Here is an 18,080-nt window from a genome sequence, read left to right on the forward strand (position 1 = left end):
CTTGAACCCGGGAGACAGCAGTTGCAGTGAGCTGAGATTGCACCACTGCACTCCAGCCTGGATGACAGAGCAAGATTCCATTTCCAAAAAAAAAAAAAAAAAATGAGGTGATGTGTATGTTAACTAGCTTGATTTAGTCATCTCACAGTGTAGTCATAGATCAAACATTATATGTACTATCAACATTTATAATTTTATTTTCAATTAAATAAAAAATCATCAATTTAAAACATTGGGAAAAAAAAGGATCTGTTGTTAAGATGAATAATTAGGAAGTTAAAGACAAACCAAAAAAGGAAAAATCAGATTTCTTCCAAAGAAGTAATGCTATTGGTTAGGTTAAATGCAAATTGACTTCAATACAAAATATGGTTTGTTGTCTTCTTGAGGAAAACTGAGCGAAATATAAGTGAATTGGGAACATGCTCTGGTTCTGTATAACTGAAGTCATTAGTTATATTCATGGGCATTGCATATTTTTATATGATATGAACTACAAATGAGGAAAATCAGGTCTTCAACTTGTGATAATTGATAATTACTAGTGGGAGAATATCCCAAAGGAAAAAAGAATAAAATGGGGAGAAATGTTTTATGGTGATGTAACTTAATTTTCTTATTAGATACTTCAAAACACTTTGGAGCTTTCAAATGTTCTTAAACAATAGAAAAATAATTAAGTTCAAGATATAAAAGAAATAGAAATGGAAAGATCTATTGATGTTAACATGTATTTCCTGAGTTTAGATTTTGTCCTTGGAGAACCTAGTAGAATCATGAATTTAATGGACTATTCCTAAAGCTGTGTTTAATGATATCGGAATCATATATATTGTCTACTTTCAGAGTTAGAACAATTTGTTTTTATTACTAAGTTAATTAATTTCACCTTTATCTTTGTACTTTCTCAGGTCAGGGAATTTTAAATTTTATTTATTTATTTATTTATTCTTGTTTTTTTCTTTTTTCGGGGGGGGGCAAGAATTTTATTTAGAATAAAATGTTGCCATCGTGTCCTTGTGTATTGGCTAATCAATCAGTGGTGACTATTTACCCATCTTAATTTATGGACCATGTCTGTAAACTAGATCATGTCTCTTTGGTCCCAACTATTATGCCATCATTGTAGCTAAATGATAAAGAAACCACCTGCATCAAGCATTGTGGCGAGGTGTAATTCTAGGAAAATTACTTTAGTTCTTCACAGAATGGGTATGAGGTATAACGGTGAGTACTTTTTTAATGTTTATAATTGGTTTGTCGGCTAGAGTCATTATATACCAGCAATGATAATCAGACCTTAGTTACCTGGAGAGCTTAGCAATCTAACATTATGGTTGATTTCATTTTCTAGATGAATAATAGTTAAAAGGTAGCTGCTTTAGTTTAAACCCTTGTCAGAGAAATTCTTCTAAAATGCTTTAATTTACTTTTCTATTGTGATCCATTCCATATGCTAAATATATTTTCACCTCCAAGGGTATTATTCTGATCTAATTCCTTTTACATATTGATATTCACTTAGGAAGTAAGAAATTAAGTTGCGTCTGTACAAACAGAATCCAACCATCCATCCCTGCTCCTCATCTATTATGTGCCAGAGTATACAATGAATGATAGATAAGCCAGCAAGTTTCTTGCCTCATGGAACTTTTATTGTAGTTGGAGATATAGACAACAAACAAGTAATTAGTAATAAATGTACATTAGGAAACACAGGGTTTGCTAAAGATAACAGGGGCACTTGTGTTAGGCTGGGTAGGAAAGATTACTTTAAGGAGTTAAAATTGCGGGGATGAGAAGGAGCCCGCCACAGGACTAGCCAAGTCAAGATACTCTCGCCTCTCTCTTAGGAGAACCCCTTTTTTTAAGTTTCATTAGGCCCACATGGATAATCCAGGATAATCTCCCATCTCAAGATCTTTAATGTTATCACATCTATGATGTTCCCCTTACCATGTAAGGTGGCATATTCATAGGTTCTGGGGATAAGGACATTGACATCTTTGGAGACTATTTTCAGCCTACCACAGGTGGTAATAAGGAAGGAGAAAAGGGTAGACATAGTAGTGGTTAAACATTGTAGAACATGTGAAACTTTCTTCTGCTTCAGGCCTTTGCATTTATTGTTTGGTGTGACTGACTGAAAGCCTTCTACTAGCAGTTGTGATTGGTACTAAATCTGGCCATTTCTTCATACTCACGTGAAGAATAAACATTGGGTGTGGCATTTCAAATAATAACCCTATGTCCTATAGTTAGTAGGTCCATTCAAAGTAAGGAATCAGTAACAGGCTGTTTTTTGTTTGTTTGTTTGGCTGGGAAAGAGGGACTTTCTTGGCAGGACATTGGGCCAAGCCTGTAGAGCCGGAGTTGACTACTAGTGTTGTTTTGGTGGAATGGTAGTAGAAGCAACACAAGACTGCAGACAGCTTTAATCTTTCTGTCACTTGGACCCTGACTGGAGGGTGGTATTGAGAAGGTTGACATGGCTTCTGGAAAAGAGTGCCGTGATTATTATCCTTGCCTGCTGAGGTGCAACACTGGGAGGGTGCTATAAGTTTGCTGATCTTGGCATAGGTGCTGCATTACATAGGCTGTTTATATTCTCTAAAGTTGAATTATTGTGATCAGCATTGAGCGATAGAACTTAATGTGATCATATATTCATTTTTTTTAATCTTACAACCTTGCTGGACTCATTATTTAGTTCTAAGAGTATTTTAGTGGATTCTGTAGGATTTTTCCTGTGTGAGATTACATCATCTGTAAAATAAGATAGTTTTACTTTTCTCCTCTCCAATATGAATGCATTGTATTTCTTTTTCTTGCCTAATTGCCCTGGACAGAAATCCAGTACAATGTTGAATGGAAGTGGCAAGAGCAGGCATCCTTTTCTTGTTCCTGATCTCAAGGCAAAACATTTCAGTCTTTCACCATTATGTATGATGTAACTGTGTTTTTTCCCTTGATACTCTTTTTTTTTTTTTTAAAGTCAAGGTCTCTGTCTGTCACGCAGGCTGGAATGCAGTGGCATGATCATGGCTCACTGCAGCCTTGAACTCCCAGTCTCAAGCAATCCCCCACCTCAGCCCCCTGAGTGGCTTGGACTACACGCATATGCCATCATGCTCAGCTAAATTTTTTTGAATTTTAATAGAGATGGGGTCTCAGTATGTTGCCCATGCTGGTCTCAAACTCCTGAGCTCAAGTGATCCTCCTGTCTTGGCCTCCCAAAGTGCTGGGATTACAAGCATGAGCCATAGTGCCTGGCTTTCCTTAATACTCTTTAACAGGTCGAGGAAGTTCCCTCTGTTCCTAGTTTACTGACTGTTTTTATCATGAAAGAGTGTTGAATTTTGGTAAATGCTATTTCTCTGACTATTGACATGATGATTTGTTTTGTGTCACTTATCCCATTTATATGTTATTTGGTTATTGATTGATTAACAATTGACATTGATTTTTGTATATTGAACCAATTTTTCAACCCTTGGAAAAATTTCAGTTGGTCAAGTTGTATGATCTTTGTATGTATTGCTGTACTCAGTATGCTAGTATGTTGCTGAGGATTCTTAGGTTTATATTCATAAGGGATATTGGTCTTTACGGTCTGTAGTTTTCTTATGATGTTTTTGGTGTCTGAGTAACATTTGCCTCATAGAAAGAGTTGAAAAGTATTCCCTCCTCTCCTTGCTTTTGGAAGAGTTTGTGAAGAATTAGTACTAATTTTTCTTTTATTGTTTGGTAGAATTCATCATTGAAGCTTAAAAAAAAAAGAAAACAAAGCCTGGGTTGTTCCCCCACTAAACTTTAAACTCATTCTGCTGAATTTTGTGGTTGCCAGGCTGCTAGTATTTAGTTACTAATGAGGCTGTTGGTTCTCAAGCCTGGTAGAAGTGGATGTTAACACAGCAAGTTAAGATGTCACAAAGCTTGCCGGTCTTATTAAAATTCAGGGTTTTTTTTTCTTGGATAAAAACTCATCAGTTATTGCAAGGCTTTAGTTAATTTCCAGAGTTTTCAAAAATTTGATTTTGGGAATTTTTGCCAGTGTTCTTGTTGCTTTTATGGCAGAAGGCTTTATTTCATCTTTTTTGAGTGTGCTTATTACCGACACCTATAATTTAAAATTCCCTATTAGCCCCATTAAAAAAATAAAGAGGAACAGATGAGATTAATTTTGATTATATATTTTATTCAACCAAATATATCCAAAATATTTTCCTTTCAAAATGTAAAATTTGTATAAAATTAATAATTATTTTACTTTTTTCTTATATGATGTCCTTCAAGTTTTATATGTAGTTGTACATTTACAACACATCTTAATTTGGAATATTGCCATCAAAGTCTCAATAGCCACATGTGGGCAGTGGCTATTGTAATGGCTAGAATAGTCTTAGAACACAGAAGAATGGGCTGATGCTTTGAAATTTCAGTCTTTTCTTTCTTCCTTCCCCACTCATGTTGAAAGTGAAAAATAATGTTTAACCACTACTATGTCTCTTTCCTCCTTCCGTATTATCACCTGTGGTAGGCTGAAAATAGTCTCCAAAGATGTCAACGTCCTTATCCCCAGAACCTATGAATATGCCACCTTACATGGTAAAGGGAACATCATAGATGTGATTAAATTAAAGATCTTGAGATGGGAGATTATCTTGGATTATCCATGTGGGCCTAATGAAACTAAAAAAAAAAGGTTCTTGTAAGAGAGAGGCGAGAGTATCAGAATCATTACAATAGTCTCTCCTTACCTGTGGGGGATACATTTTAAGATCCCCAGTGGATGCTTGAAACCATGGTTAGTACCAAACCCTATAAATACTGTGTTTTTTTCCTAGGTATGCATGTATAGGAGTTGAACAATATGGTAAAATATTTGAATATGGCCTAATTTGAACAATGGTAAAATAGAGCAATTGTAACAATATATTATAATATCTCTCAACAAATTAGGTATTGATGGGACGTATCTCAAAATAATAAGAGCTATCTATGACAAACCCACAGCCAATATCATACTGAATGGGCAAAAACTGGAAGCATTCCCTTTGAAAACTGGCACAAGACAGGGATGCCCTCTCCCACCACTCCTATTCAACATAGTGTTGGAAGTTCTGGCCAGGGCAATTAGGCAGGAGAAGGAAATAAAGGGTATTCAATTAAGAAAAGAGGAAGTCAAATTGTCCCTGTTTGCAGATGACATGATTGTATATCTAGAAAACCCCATTGTCTCAGCCCAAAATCTCCTTAAGCTGATAAGCTACTTCAGCAAAGTCTCAGGATACAAAATCAATGTACAAAAATCACAAGCATTCTTATACACCAATAACAGACAAACAGAGAGCCAAATCATGAGTGAACTCCCATTCACAATTGCTTCGAAGAGAATAAAATACCTAGGAATCCAACTTACAAGGGATGCGAAAGACCTCTTCAAGGAGAACTACAAACCACTGCTCAATGAAATAAAAGAGGATACAAACAAATGGAAGAACATTCCACGCTCATGGATAGGAAGAATCAATATCATGAAAATGGCCATACTGCCCAAGGTAATTTATAGATTCAATGCCATCCCCATCAAGCTACCAATGACTTTCTTCACAGAATTGGAAAAAACTACTTTAAAGTTCATATGGAACCAAAAAAGAGCCCGCATCGCCAAGTCAATCCTAAGCCAAAAGAACAAAGCTGGAGGCAGCATGCTACCTGACTTCAAACTATATTACAAGGCTACAGTAACCAAAACAGCATGCTACTGGTACCAAAACAGAGATAGAGATCAATGGAACAGAACAGAGCCCTCAGAAATAATGCCACATATCTACAACCATCTGATCTTTGACAAACCTGAGAAAAACAAGCTTTGGGAAAGGATTCTCTATTTAATAAATGGTGCTGGGAAAACTGGCTAGCCATATGTAGAAAGCTGAAACTGGATCCCTTCCTTACACCTTATACAAAAATTAATTCAAGATGGATTAAAGACTTACATGTTAGACCTAAAACCATAAAAACCCTAGAAGAAAACCTAGGCAGTACTATTCAGGACATAGGCATGGGCAAGGACTACATGTCTAAAACACCAAAAGCAATGGCAACAAAAGCCAAAATTGACAAATGGGATCTAATTAAACTAAAGAGCTTCTGCACAGCAAAAGAAACTACCATCAGAGTGAACAGGCAACCTACAAAATGGGAGAAAATTTTCTCAACCTACTCATCTGACAAAGGGCTAATATCCAGAATCTACAATGAACTCAAACAAATCTACAAGAAAAAAACAGACAATCCCATCAAAAAGTGGGTGAAGGATATGAACAGACACTTCTCAAAAGAAGACATTTACGCAGCCAAAAAACACATGAAAAAATGCTTGTCATTACTGGCCATCAGAGAAATGCAAATCAAAACCACAATGAGATACCACCTCCCACCAGTTAGAATGGCGATCATTAAAAGTCAGGAAACAACAAGTGCTGGAGAGGATATGGAGAAATAGGAACACTTTTACACTGTTGGTGGGACTGTAAACTAGTTCAACCATTGTGGAAGTCAGTGTGGTGATTCCTCAGGGATCTCGAACTAGAAATACCATTTGACTCAGCCATCCCATTACTGGGTATATACCCAAAGGATTATAAATCATGCTGCTATAAAGACACATGCACACGTGTGTTTATTGCGGCACTATTCACAATAGCAAAGACTTGGAACCAACCCAAATGTCCATCAGTGATAGACTGGATTAAGAAAATGTGGCACATATACACCATGGAATACTATGCAGCCATAAAAAATGATGAGTTCATGTCCTTTGCAGGGACATGGATGAAACTGGAAACCATCATTCTCAGCAAACTATTGCAAGGACAAAAAACCAGACACCACATGTTCTCACTCATAGGTGGGAATTGAACAATGAGAACACATGGACACAGGAAGGGGAACATCACACTCTGGGGACTGTTGTGGGGTGGGGGGAGGGGGGAGGGATAGCATTAGGAGATATACCTAATGTTAAATGGCGAGTTAATGGGTGCAGCACACCAACATGGCACATGTATACATATGTAACAAACCTGCACATTGTGCACATGTACCCTAAAACTTAAAGTATAATAATAATAAAATAAAAAAATATATATATAGTAATAAAAGTTATGTGAATGTGGTCTGTCTCAGTATATCATTACAATATGTACTATGCTCACCTATTTCTAGATTGCAGTTGAAAGTGGAAAGTGAAACCACAGATTAGAGGGGAGTCTTATAGTTTGCGATGTGATAATGGTAGCAAGAAGTTGAAGTGATTTGAGGAATGAGGTCACACATCTAACATATGCACTCAGCCTCTAGAAGCTTAAAGAGGCAAGGAAACAGATTCTCACTTGAGAGCCTCCAGAAGGAACCAGCTTTGTCGACACCTTGACATTAGCCCATGCGGAGTGATTTCAGACTTCTGACCTCCAGGATTATAAAATAATAAATTTGTCTTGTTAGAAGCCACTAAGTTTAGGGGCAATTTGTTACAGCAGTAACGGGAAACCAATTCACCACCTTAGCAGGTGGAGGTGGCTACAGACAGTTTTGGTTTTATATACCATATGTATATACATACATTCTGTACAAATGAAGGTCTTTATCAGTTCTGATTCAAGCTTTACATTGCTGGTGGAGTTGTACTTATTTTTAATTTCAGCAGTTTTATATTTTAGGTGGATTTTCATAGGGACAGGGGATTAACACATTGTTGAGAGACAATTGTAAGAAATTTCAGCCTTGCTCTAGAGTCTGTATTTTTTAAAGTTCCAGAAACACTGTCTTCTTGGTGGGATAGTTATTTTCAGTTCAATCAGTTCTTCCTGAAACTGAACCACACTTACAGGATAGACGACAATTCAGATGCATTTTGAGGTTTTCTTTAAAGGAAGCGGCAGACACTTAAAGCATGATTTGAAATCATGTAAGTCATTGAGTCCTTTATGAAATGATGATTTCCTTTCCACCAGACAGCTCTGTAATTCTTTTATATCTTTGATTCTATTGAACTCAAGCCAGGTCACAATAGTAAAATGAGTACATTCTCCTTTTGCCTTCTGCTAAGTCTGTAGGCCCAGTTTGAGTTTGAAATTTGTACTTCATTAAGTAAAGACATACTTTTAAAATTCTGTGACTGTAGTTTCTGGTGCGGTATAGTCAGATATGTTTTGTCAGGTTTAATAATGCACTATCTTATCTTGTAAGCCCCTGAGGGAAAATCAGGTGCATCCATCTTTCAGTCTTTTAACTACAGAAGCTCTTGACTTGAGATATCAGCTCAATGAATCTGAAATTTAGTTTATTCTGATACACATTCTACTTCTGTATTTTCTAACTATCCCCAAGCTGTTGCAGATTGGTATGTAACGTCATGAAAAAAACCATATTGGTCACTTCATCATATTATTTAATGAAACCGATCTAGAAGACAGGTTCAGAGCTGTATTTAGAGCATAAGTTTTCTGTCAATGGAGGCTGGAATTAATGATTTGCATTTTTGTTTGTTTAAAAGTGTTGAAAACTTTTTTTTTAATTGTATGTAGTCATATTTGGTAATGAGAATTTTTCTGTGTTTATACCATACTTAAGATTTTTATGGCAGCTTGTTAGGTCTTATTGTCACTATGAAAAAGTGAGTATTAACCATTTTGTTGTTGTTGCTACTGTTAAAAGTCTCAAGTTGAGTGTGCTTTGACGCTCAGGAGGACTCAACTTGGTCTCTAAGCTGTACCTTGGTCCTTCACAACACCAGTGCTCAACGTTGGCTGCCCATTGGAATCACCTGTGGAGTTTTCAGAATTTCTGCTGTCTCTTTCCCATCCCCAGAGATTCTAATTTAACTGGTATAGGGCATGGTCTGTGTACTGAGGTTTTAAAAATCTCTCCGGATGATTCTGATGGGCAGCAAAGTTTGAAAACTGCTGTCCCACAGAATAATTCATGAACTTATGATGTATAAAAGTACCAGTGAGCTTTTTGAAAAACTGATTCCTGGGCCTCACACGCAAGCATTGAGATCCACTCAGTCTGGGGCAGGATTCAGGAATCTGCATTTTGGAGTAGCACCCCAGATAACTCTGATGCAGTAGACCCAGGGGTTACAATTTAAAAAGAAAGTGTGTTTTAGGGTAAACCTGCAAGGTGTGTCTCTTATGTAGAGAGGCTTCTTGGATGGTTCCACTAATACTATCATTTGATACTCCTAAAATTAAATGGCATTGACTTTCCCCAAATAATTTTTAATCAAAACTGAAGTTGTAATTGTAGCAACTTTCTTGGCTTGTCTGGGGGATAGTTCTGTACTTAATGTCTTTGCTCTACAGGCTACCTCAGGACAGGGGACTAAAAGAACATACAGTGATTTAGAAAGAGCTTTTTTTTTTGTTTTTTTGAGTTGGAGTCTCGCTCTGTTGCTCAGACTGGAGTGCAGTGGCACAATCTTGGTTCACTGCAACCTCCGCCTCCCAGATTCAAGCGATTCACCTGCCTCAGCCTCCCTAGTAGCTGGGATTACAGGCACGCACTATGGCGCCCCACTATTTTTTGTATTTTTAGTAGAGACGGGGTTTCACCATGCTGGCCAGGCTGGTCTTGCCTACTCCTGACCTCAGGTGATCCGCCTGCCTCAGCCTCCCAAAGTGCTGGGATTACAGGCTTGAGCTACCGCGTCTGGCCTAGACAGAACTTTAAGGCTTGATAACTGTGTGGATACAATGAACACAACTGAGGCAACGAAGATATGGACTAAGTGAATAACAGCAGCTTACCTGTGTAACTGGTAGTCTTTAGGAGTGTTTAGGAGCTCTTCATCTGAAGCCCTTGTCCTGAAAGGAAGCAGCAGCAGAGAGGGACATTCCAATGGCCATAGACATGAACCTCAAGTTAGATTCCGCTGGTCACATATTGGTTCCAGAGTTTACATACCAGTCTTTTAAATCATATTCACTTCCCATAGATGCGTTATGATGATGAAGATGATGATGATTTGAGACGGAGTTTCACTCTGCCACCCAGGCTGGAGTGCAGTGGCATTGTGATCTCGGCTCACTGCAACCTCCGCTTCTCAGGTTCAAGTGATTCTCCTGCCTCTGCCTCCCAAGTAGCTGGGATTACAGGTGCCCACCACCACGCCCGGCTAGTTTTTGTACTTTTAGTAGAGATGGGGTTTCACCATGTTGGTCAGGCTGGTCTCGGCCTCCTGACCTCAGGTGGTCCGCACACCTCAGCCTCCCAAAGTGCTGGGATTACAGGTGTGAGCCACTGTGCCTGGCCCTGTTGATGCATTATTAATCTCGGCACTTTGAAAAATGAAAATTTAAAAGCTAGCTTAGCTGTCAGTTGGAAAATATGCTGCGCAAAAAGCTTAGATTCTGAAGTAGTTCTGTGGTGAAGGGCATTGTTAAATTAACCAGAAACTGTGTTTTATTAGTGTACGTGCAAATCATTTACACAAATGATTGAAATGTGTAACAGATATACAGAAAATAGAGACAAAGTCTTATCTTTCAGTGTTTCTTCATTATGACTGTAAAAGTATGGAGCATAGTACTTTTTCACATCTTTAACAAAAGAAATTCATATTAGAAAAAAATGCCAAAATGATACAAATGTATAATTTAATAAGTAAATTTTTTTTTTGCATTTCCACTGCTTAGTGATAACTACTATGAAAAGTTTGGTAAGTGTTTTAGAAAAAAAATTACATTTAAAGAACTCACAGGGTAGGTGTGGTGGCTCACGCCTGTAATCACAACACTTTGGGAGGTCAAGGCAGGCGGATCACCTGAGGTCAGGAGTTCGAGACCAGCCTGACCAGCATGGTGAAACCCCATCTCTACTAAAAATACAAAAATTAGCTGGGCATGGTGGCGCACGCCTGTAATCCTAGCTACTGGGGTAGCTGAGGCAGGCGAATCACTTGAACCTGGGAGATGGAGTTTGTAGTGACCTGAGATTGTGCCACTGCACTCCAGCCTGGGTGATAAAGGAAGACTCTGTCTCCAAAAATAAACAAACAAACAAATAAAAGAAAAAATCACTAATGAATGTTTCTTGAATTTCTTCCAGGGACATAAATAAATATTTTCTTTTAGTGGTATAATTGGCCATAATGTTGTGGCTTCGGATGAAAACTAAACTTTAGAATTTAGTTATGTCATAATGTAAACATTGTCTGTATGAGAATTTTGTAAAAATAATTGCCTATTTAGGTGCATAGATAAATTTTGCATTTTTTAACGCCTGCCCAGTTCTTCTCCTTACACCCCCTTATCTCTCCTCTACCATATGCTTAATTGCTGCATCCGTTTCTTTTTGGAGGTTCTGTAGTGTAGGTGCTGCTGATGGCAGAACTAGTCATGATTTACTTTGCCATGTGTAGGGCAGGTGCTTTCAGCCTTAATCAGTGACTGTTTCTGAACTCTGCAAAACACACTAATTGAAAAGTCATGTTAGGCAGCACAAAAGTACCCTATATGATGATAATATATCCTTGTTGGGCGACTGAGATGCTGTTAATAGTTTGGATGCCTTAAGTTAGTAGTTTGGGTTGGTCTTGTCTGAATTTATATACTTAATTAAGAAATAGTGGAGAATTTAAATGTAAGGTAATTTTGTGCAAGTCATAGGAAAATAAAAGATAGGTTATTACTTATGCTAGTTTCCTTTTTTTATGTGAAAATTCTGAATTGCTTATTGAAAAGACTAAAGTTAAATATTCGATTCCCTTGCAGAAGAGGATGAACACGTGCTTCACCTACTTTATCGCTGGATGGCACTGTGTGCTCTTGGGCTGCCCTACAAATGGGATCTCTTTGGTGGTCAAAATGTTGTGTACCCATGTTTCTGGAGAAGGCTTTTTGTGTTCTTTTCTAATGTTTGTAATAGCACGTGTTACTTGTTGTCAAGTACATATTACATTTTATATTGTAGTTATTAGTAGGAGAATATTTTAATTTCAATGCAATGCAATTTTTTTTTCCCTTATAAGGCAAAATCTCAGAGAGAGGGGGAAGGGAGAGAGACAGAGTGAGTGACTCGTGTGTGTGTGTGTGTGTGTGTGTGTGTGTGTGTGTGTGTGTAATTAATTTTAAGCTTATTGTTGAATTAACTTCTCTCTCCATTTGGTAACCTTCCTGTATAGGCCTCTAGGGTAGTGGTTAGGAAAACCTTAGTCTCTCTTTCGTGTGTGTGTGAGTTTGTGTGTGTGTAATTGATTTCGAGCTTATTGTTGAACCCACTTCTTTCTATTTGGTAACCATCCTATATAGGCCTCTAGAGTAGTGGTTAGGAGCATGGACTCTGGAGCCAAACTACATTGATTTAAATCCTCAATATACTGCTAAGTAGCTATGACCCTCAAGCAAGTCATGAAATGCTCTATGCTTTAGTTTCCTCATTCACTAAATGGGAATAATAATAGTGTTTGCCTCCAAGGATTGCTGAGGATTAAAATGAATTAATTTTTGTTAAGTTCTTATGGCAGTGCCCATTACATAGTAAGCACCAAATAAATGTTAGCTTTATGACTATATTATTATTACCACTACCTTAGTTTCTCCTTTTTCTTCTCTTTCCTTCAGTCCCTCTTCTGTCCATGTTCACCTTATTACTACATTCCTTAGCCATGCATGTCCTGCCCTAGGAGCCCATTGGTTGCAGCAAAGCCTGATTTTTACCTAAAGCGTTTACTTTTTGATAGTCTTGCAATTATGATGTCTTCCATTATGAAGTAAGAGTCTTACTTTGCTACTACTTTTTTTTTTTAATTTCAATTAGGGTAATGTACATGTTAAAATACTTCAACCAAAATTAAATGAAACATGCTGATGGCGTATTTCTTATTGTAAACATCCATGTGAAGCTTATGGATTCTGGCTGATTCGTAGAGTAGGCAGAGAACTGAGATAACATGAATGTTCAGGAAAGACCTCTTTGGTAGTGAGCTGTGATGCAAATCTGATCATTTTGAGGAAAAGTACTCCAGTGCACATTGACCTCTTTCGCTAAAAGAGATCTTGAGGTAACTGACGTCCAGACCTTTAGCATTAAATTGGTGAAAATCAGTACACTGAAACAAAGCTCAACATGAATTAGTACAGCCAGCACATATTACCCACTACAGATAAAACTGTTATTCTCTTTTTTTGGGTCTTGTTTTGTTTTGGGTTCTATCCACAAACTGCTCTTGACTCTAAACTACATCATTTCCTGAACTTTCTAATGTATTCTCAAGCATGTCCTATATACATGAAGGATGTCAAAACTCAGAGACGAAATTTTTTTCAAGATGATTCATAACAATGGTATTTGAATTTTGTCCCTGCCCAAAATTTATATTAAGAATCTAAGAAGACACATGATATTGTTTTCCTCCTTCTGTTTTTTAAACATAGCCTTTTTTTTTGTCTCATGTAACCTCAAAACATGTTCATGTCCTTCCTTTCCTTTCCCTTCCTTCCCTTACCATCCTCCCTCCCTTCCTTGCCTCCTTTGTGTTTCCTTAACCTTTTTTTCTTGAAGTTAGCTACAAGCCATGCATGGCTAAGTAATGTTGACCTTATAATTTGGGGACTAGGATAGAATTCCAAATACTTGTTATTTTTGAGTATCTTGATTTAAAAAAAAAAAAAAGATCAGTCACCATGCTAAAGTAGGCCTGAGGCTGAAAGTGAGGTTAGTGAGGGGAAGAGGAAGGAAGACAGATTTTTTAAAGTGGTGCATTGGGATAGAGACTTCTTATAGTTGCTCATATTGCATAGTTTTAATGGTGGAAGTGATTACTGTTAGGACAGTGTCAAGAAATATAAAACCCATTGATGGGAACTGTTTTAGGAACTTCCATTGGTCTTTGTTCTTTCCTCAATTTTGTCATCTGTATTTGTTCTTAGGACCTTGGAAGTGGTTTTTGAACAATAATTTTCTTTTAGTGGGTAGGACTATGAAGTTCATGCCCCAGGGGAAGAGACTGATATGTGCAATCATTATTGTCGTGGGAAACACAGACCTATATATTAGAACAGGATACACTGCAGTCATTTGTGTAGGAATCCACTTAAGATGACTTGAAAGAGAATTTTCCTGACCACTATCATGTCTGGCTTCATGTTCAGACATTCTTACTGAAATACTCATTTAATCAGAGGTTTCTCTTGTGAAGGAATTTTTTTTTTTTTTGGGTCCAGGTTTTCAAGAGTTCCGTCAAATATCTGTATAAGGTTTTTAGACAAATGAAGAAAACCTGCTTTTGAGAAGCAATGATGGCTTTTTCACTAGAAATAAAAAGTTCCAGGTTTTATAGTTTGTTTCTTAAAAATATATGATTAAATAATTATCTTCTCTTTTAAAAAATTTGTTTTTTGCTGACTTCTTACTTTGTGACTTGAAATGTATGTTACAGTCTTCTTTTGTGCTTGAATAACAATGGTTTGAAAAGGAACAAAAAGGCTTCTAAAGATGGTATTTCAATTTGTCCAACAGTGTTCAATTTAAGCCTTTTATTTTTTAAACTTTCAAACAAGCACAGTGACTTGATTTTTTTCCCCATGTTATCATCTAAGAGTGTGTTTTGAATGTGTGTTTTGACCGTAAACCAGGAGTTGCAAAGTCAAATGCTTAACTATGCCAGACGGGTAATTAAAATAAGTGAACTGAGTCAGACGAAAAACAATAGGAAATGGTGATGGATATGGACTAAAGAGCCCACATCCTGTCTGAGGAGAGAGTCACTACTCTCTCCAGCATGTGCTACCACGTGACATTGTGATCCCAGTGCAGTGGTGTGCTGGTAAATGTTTAACAACTGGCTCATTAAAACAAGAAAAACAACAACAACAAACTGTCACAGGTTGCATTTGCCAATTCTCATGGTGTAAACACTCCCACATAGCTAATTTCAAGCCTCTACTATGATTGTCACTGCACATGTTTAGAAGAGATACTAATAATTGGCTCAATGAGCAAGTACAAGCTAGCTGCAGCACACCACTAGCCCCAGTGTAGCCAGGTTTGCAATTTTTGAAGAAAACTGATTTTTTTATATAAAATCTCTTGGGTTTTAAAATACTATGTAGGCCAAAAAAAAAAATTAATGAACTAAATCATGCTTATCAGTTGCCAATTTATAATCTCTGACAGTAAACTGATAATACTTCTTGGAAATCTTATTAGAAATCAATTTTGCTATTTTATAGTCAAACTGCAGATGTCTAATCAATGGCTTCACTGGTATTTTTTGGAATCAACAATTTTTTTATTTTTATTTTTTTACACATGAAAATGTATTGCTATCAACAGTGTTTTAATGTATGTTTAATATTGGTATAAGGTAAAAATTAGCAGTTCAGAAATTATTCTTTGATTAATTAGAACAGCCAGTATACTTGGAATGTCTAAAACTGACTAAACCTGGCTTGCCGTCTAGGGGGGTTGTTTTTCCTGGATGCATTATTTGTGTTAGTGAAAGATGGAAAATGTCAGTCTAATTTATTGAAATTATAAAATTGTTGTATAGCAAAACCCTAAGTAAGCTGTTTTGTGTGTATTCCCTTGGATGATATTTTTAAAATTATGTTTTACAATTCTTCTTACTTTTGAGTATTTCTGAAGCACTTTTTACGATGTTACCCTGAAGTCATACAGACAAGGCTGTGAGGAGGTTAGTGCTATTTTGTAAACTTGACTCAAGATACAGGACTTTGCTGTACAAGGGAGTGTAATGAGGGCTGAGCTGAGACTGGGTCTCAGGCCTGTTGAATCAGGGTCCAAATTCCTTTTCGCCAGACTGCTGAGGATGTAAAAAAGATTAAAAAATTCTGCCCTCTTCAGAACTGTCTAGCCCTCCAATTGTGGTTAAAGGGTGAATGGAAGATATGGCTAAGATAACGATCATTGTTGGATGAATATAAGAATTGACACAACAAAGCAGAGTGCCTCCTTAAGGGTTTTATCATATTACAGTCTTCTCACATATAAAATATAGTTGTGGGTATGTTAGAATGCAGATCATATGCAAATGTGCTGAATTAGGGACATATGAGTATATGGATATATGATATAGTATGTCATCAAAGGCTGATTGTGTTAGTGTACCTTTGAGGTCTCTTCGGGGTGATGCTGAAAAGCCCAAACATGTCTATAGCTTGCAGCTTAGATCTTAAAAGCCATCCAGTTTGTGCCATGTGGTCTGTTGATGAGGAGTTCTGACTGTAATGTAAGTTAGTGAATTTCTGAAATCAGTTTCCTTGATTTTATTCTCTGGTGAGATGCATTAGTAAACAGAGGAACAATTATCCAGGTGTTTGTGTGTGCAGTGGGATATTCTCAGTGTTCCTGTTCCTGTGAAGTGATGGCCATAAAATGGCAGTTATATTTAACAAAAGCATTTTGTATGAGTTTGGGGAAGAGGCAAGGAGGTGTGAAAATAACACAGTTGTCATGCAAACTCATGTTTGAAGTAAGTCTTCTAGGCCTGTTTTCAATCAGACTGTATCCCTCAACTCCTCATGTCACTGGGTATTATTATTATAATCTCAGCATATCGTCCCTCTAAGTCACTGGGTTTTATAGTGTTTAGTGTGTGTCTTTTACACTAGACTGTTTTTCCATGAGGACAGAAAATTCATCTCTTTTCACCATTCTGTCTCAGCACCTAGCACGGTGCCTGAATGAAGTAATAAGTATTTGCTGAATGAAAACAATGTGCATACCAGATTTTTAAAACTTTCAAATAAAACAGCATTAATATAGGAGAATATAAAATGTGTTTTCTCTCACTTGCTATTCTTCAGATTGTTTTTTAAATCACTGAGTTTGTTTAATTAATATAGCAATCCTTGGCATTATGTACCTGTATTCTTTACATGAATTTTTGCTTGAAGCGTAAACACGTAACAAGTATTTTACCTGCTGGATCATTTGGTCACTGAAATCATGCATTTCTTGTCCTATTCCACACCTGGCTTTGCACCTTTCCCTGGAACTCCCATGAGATAGATCACTTTAAGAAGAGTCATCAGTAAAGAACTTCATCATGTACTGTGTAGTCTAGTGAGTCTCCCCTGTTATTTTGGGAACCATTCCACAGAAGCTCAAGAGAGCAGTGCAGTGTGACATGGCCAGAGAAGGACTGTGCCAGCTGTGCAGTGGATCATACAAGTAATCGTCAGATTCACCATTACATTCTGGGATTTTGGTTGATCAGAATGATCAGATGTAGGGAGAGTGTCTAAGTTCATTTATTTTGATTTCATGCTGGGACTTGGTTCATGAGCTTGTGATATGTGGGGTAGCTCTGTAACTTAATAGTTCTAAGAAAATGCCTGAAATTCCACTAAGAGAGCTTCATTCCTTTAGTTGTAGAGAAAGCTTTTGAATCTTTATTAATTTTTTATTAAAGTCTGTGTAGCCCTGGAAAGGGTAACATCATGAATAACCTTTACTTGATTCCATTTTTGGTGATGTGGCTGTGCATTTCCACTGTTGTTCTATTTCTTTCCTCTTTCAGTGCCAAACTTCATATGTTATTAGTATTTGAGGTTTCTGCTTCCTACCCACTAATTATTTTCTTAATGCTTTGCATTAGACTGTACACTCCCATCCTGCTACTGATAATGCCTTTGATATACATTCAACACTCTTCCTTCTAACACTCTCCTCCTTTGGCCTTTAGACATCACACCACCTGTTATTCTTCCCACCTGTTTTTTTTGTCCCCTCCTTGGTTGACTCCAGTGGTCTGCCCTTGTCCTCTGCTTTCCCTCCAATTATCCAGTCTAGTTATCCACTTCAGTGGCTTTACCCTTGTGTTAGTTTTCTGTTGCTGCATAACAGATTATCAGAAATGCAATATGAAAGGTGCCTTCCAACAACACAAACTATGATTTTATAGTTTCTGTATGTCTGTTGTCTGGTAATGGCTTAGATGGAGTCTCTGCTCAGGTCTTAAAAGGCTGCCATTCAGGTATCTGCTGGACTGAATTTCTCAGCAGGACCTCAGAGGTCTTTTCCAAGCTCATTTAGATTGTTGGCAG

General features: G+C 37.2%; 1 protein-coding gene and 1 long non-coding RNA gene across 21 annotated transcripts in view; one reads left to right on the forward strand and one right to left on the reverse strand.

Annotated features, from left to right (window-relative positions):
- LOC105375245 (uncharacterized) overlaps nucleotides 1-12,687 on the reverse strand; it is a 57,295-nt gene extending 44,608 nt beyond the window's left edge. For both annotated transcript variants that reach the window (XR_927196.3, XR_927195.3), the window contains exons 1-2: nucleotides 12,600-12,687; nucleotides 9,819-9,875 (exon numbers count right to left, since the gene is read on the reverse strand). This is a non-coding gene — a long non-coding RNA (uncharacterized LOC105375245). The remainder of the gene's footprint in view (nucleotides 1-9,818; nucleotides 9,876-12,599) is intronic.
- Nucleotides 1-18,080, forward strand: part of SUGCT (succinyl-CoA:glutarate-CoA transferase) — a 903,812-nt gene that overhangs the window by 149,519 nt on the left and 736,213 nt on the right. The gene's annotated exons all lie outside the window — the stretch shown is intronic.

The sequence above is a fragment of the Homo sapiens genome, chromosome 7 (genome assembly GCF_000001405.40).
Source record: "Homo sapiens chromosome 7, GRCh38.p14 Primary Assembly".
Lineage (NCBI taxonomy): Eukaryota > Metazoa > Chordata > Mammalia > Primates > Hominidae > Homo > Homo sapiens.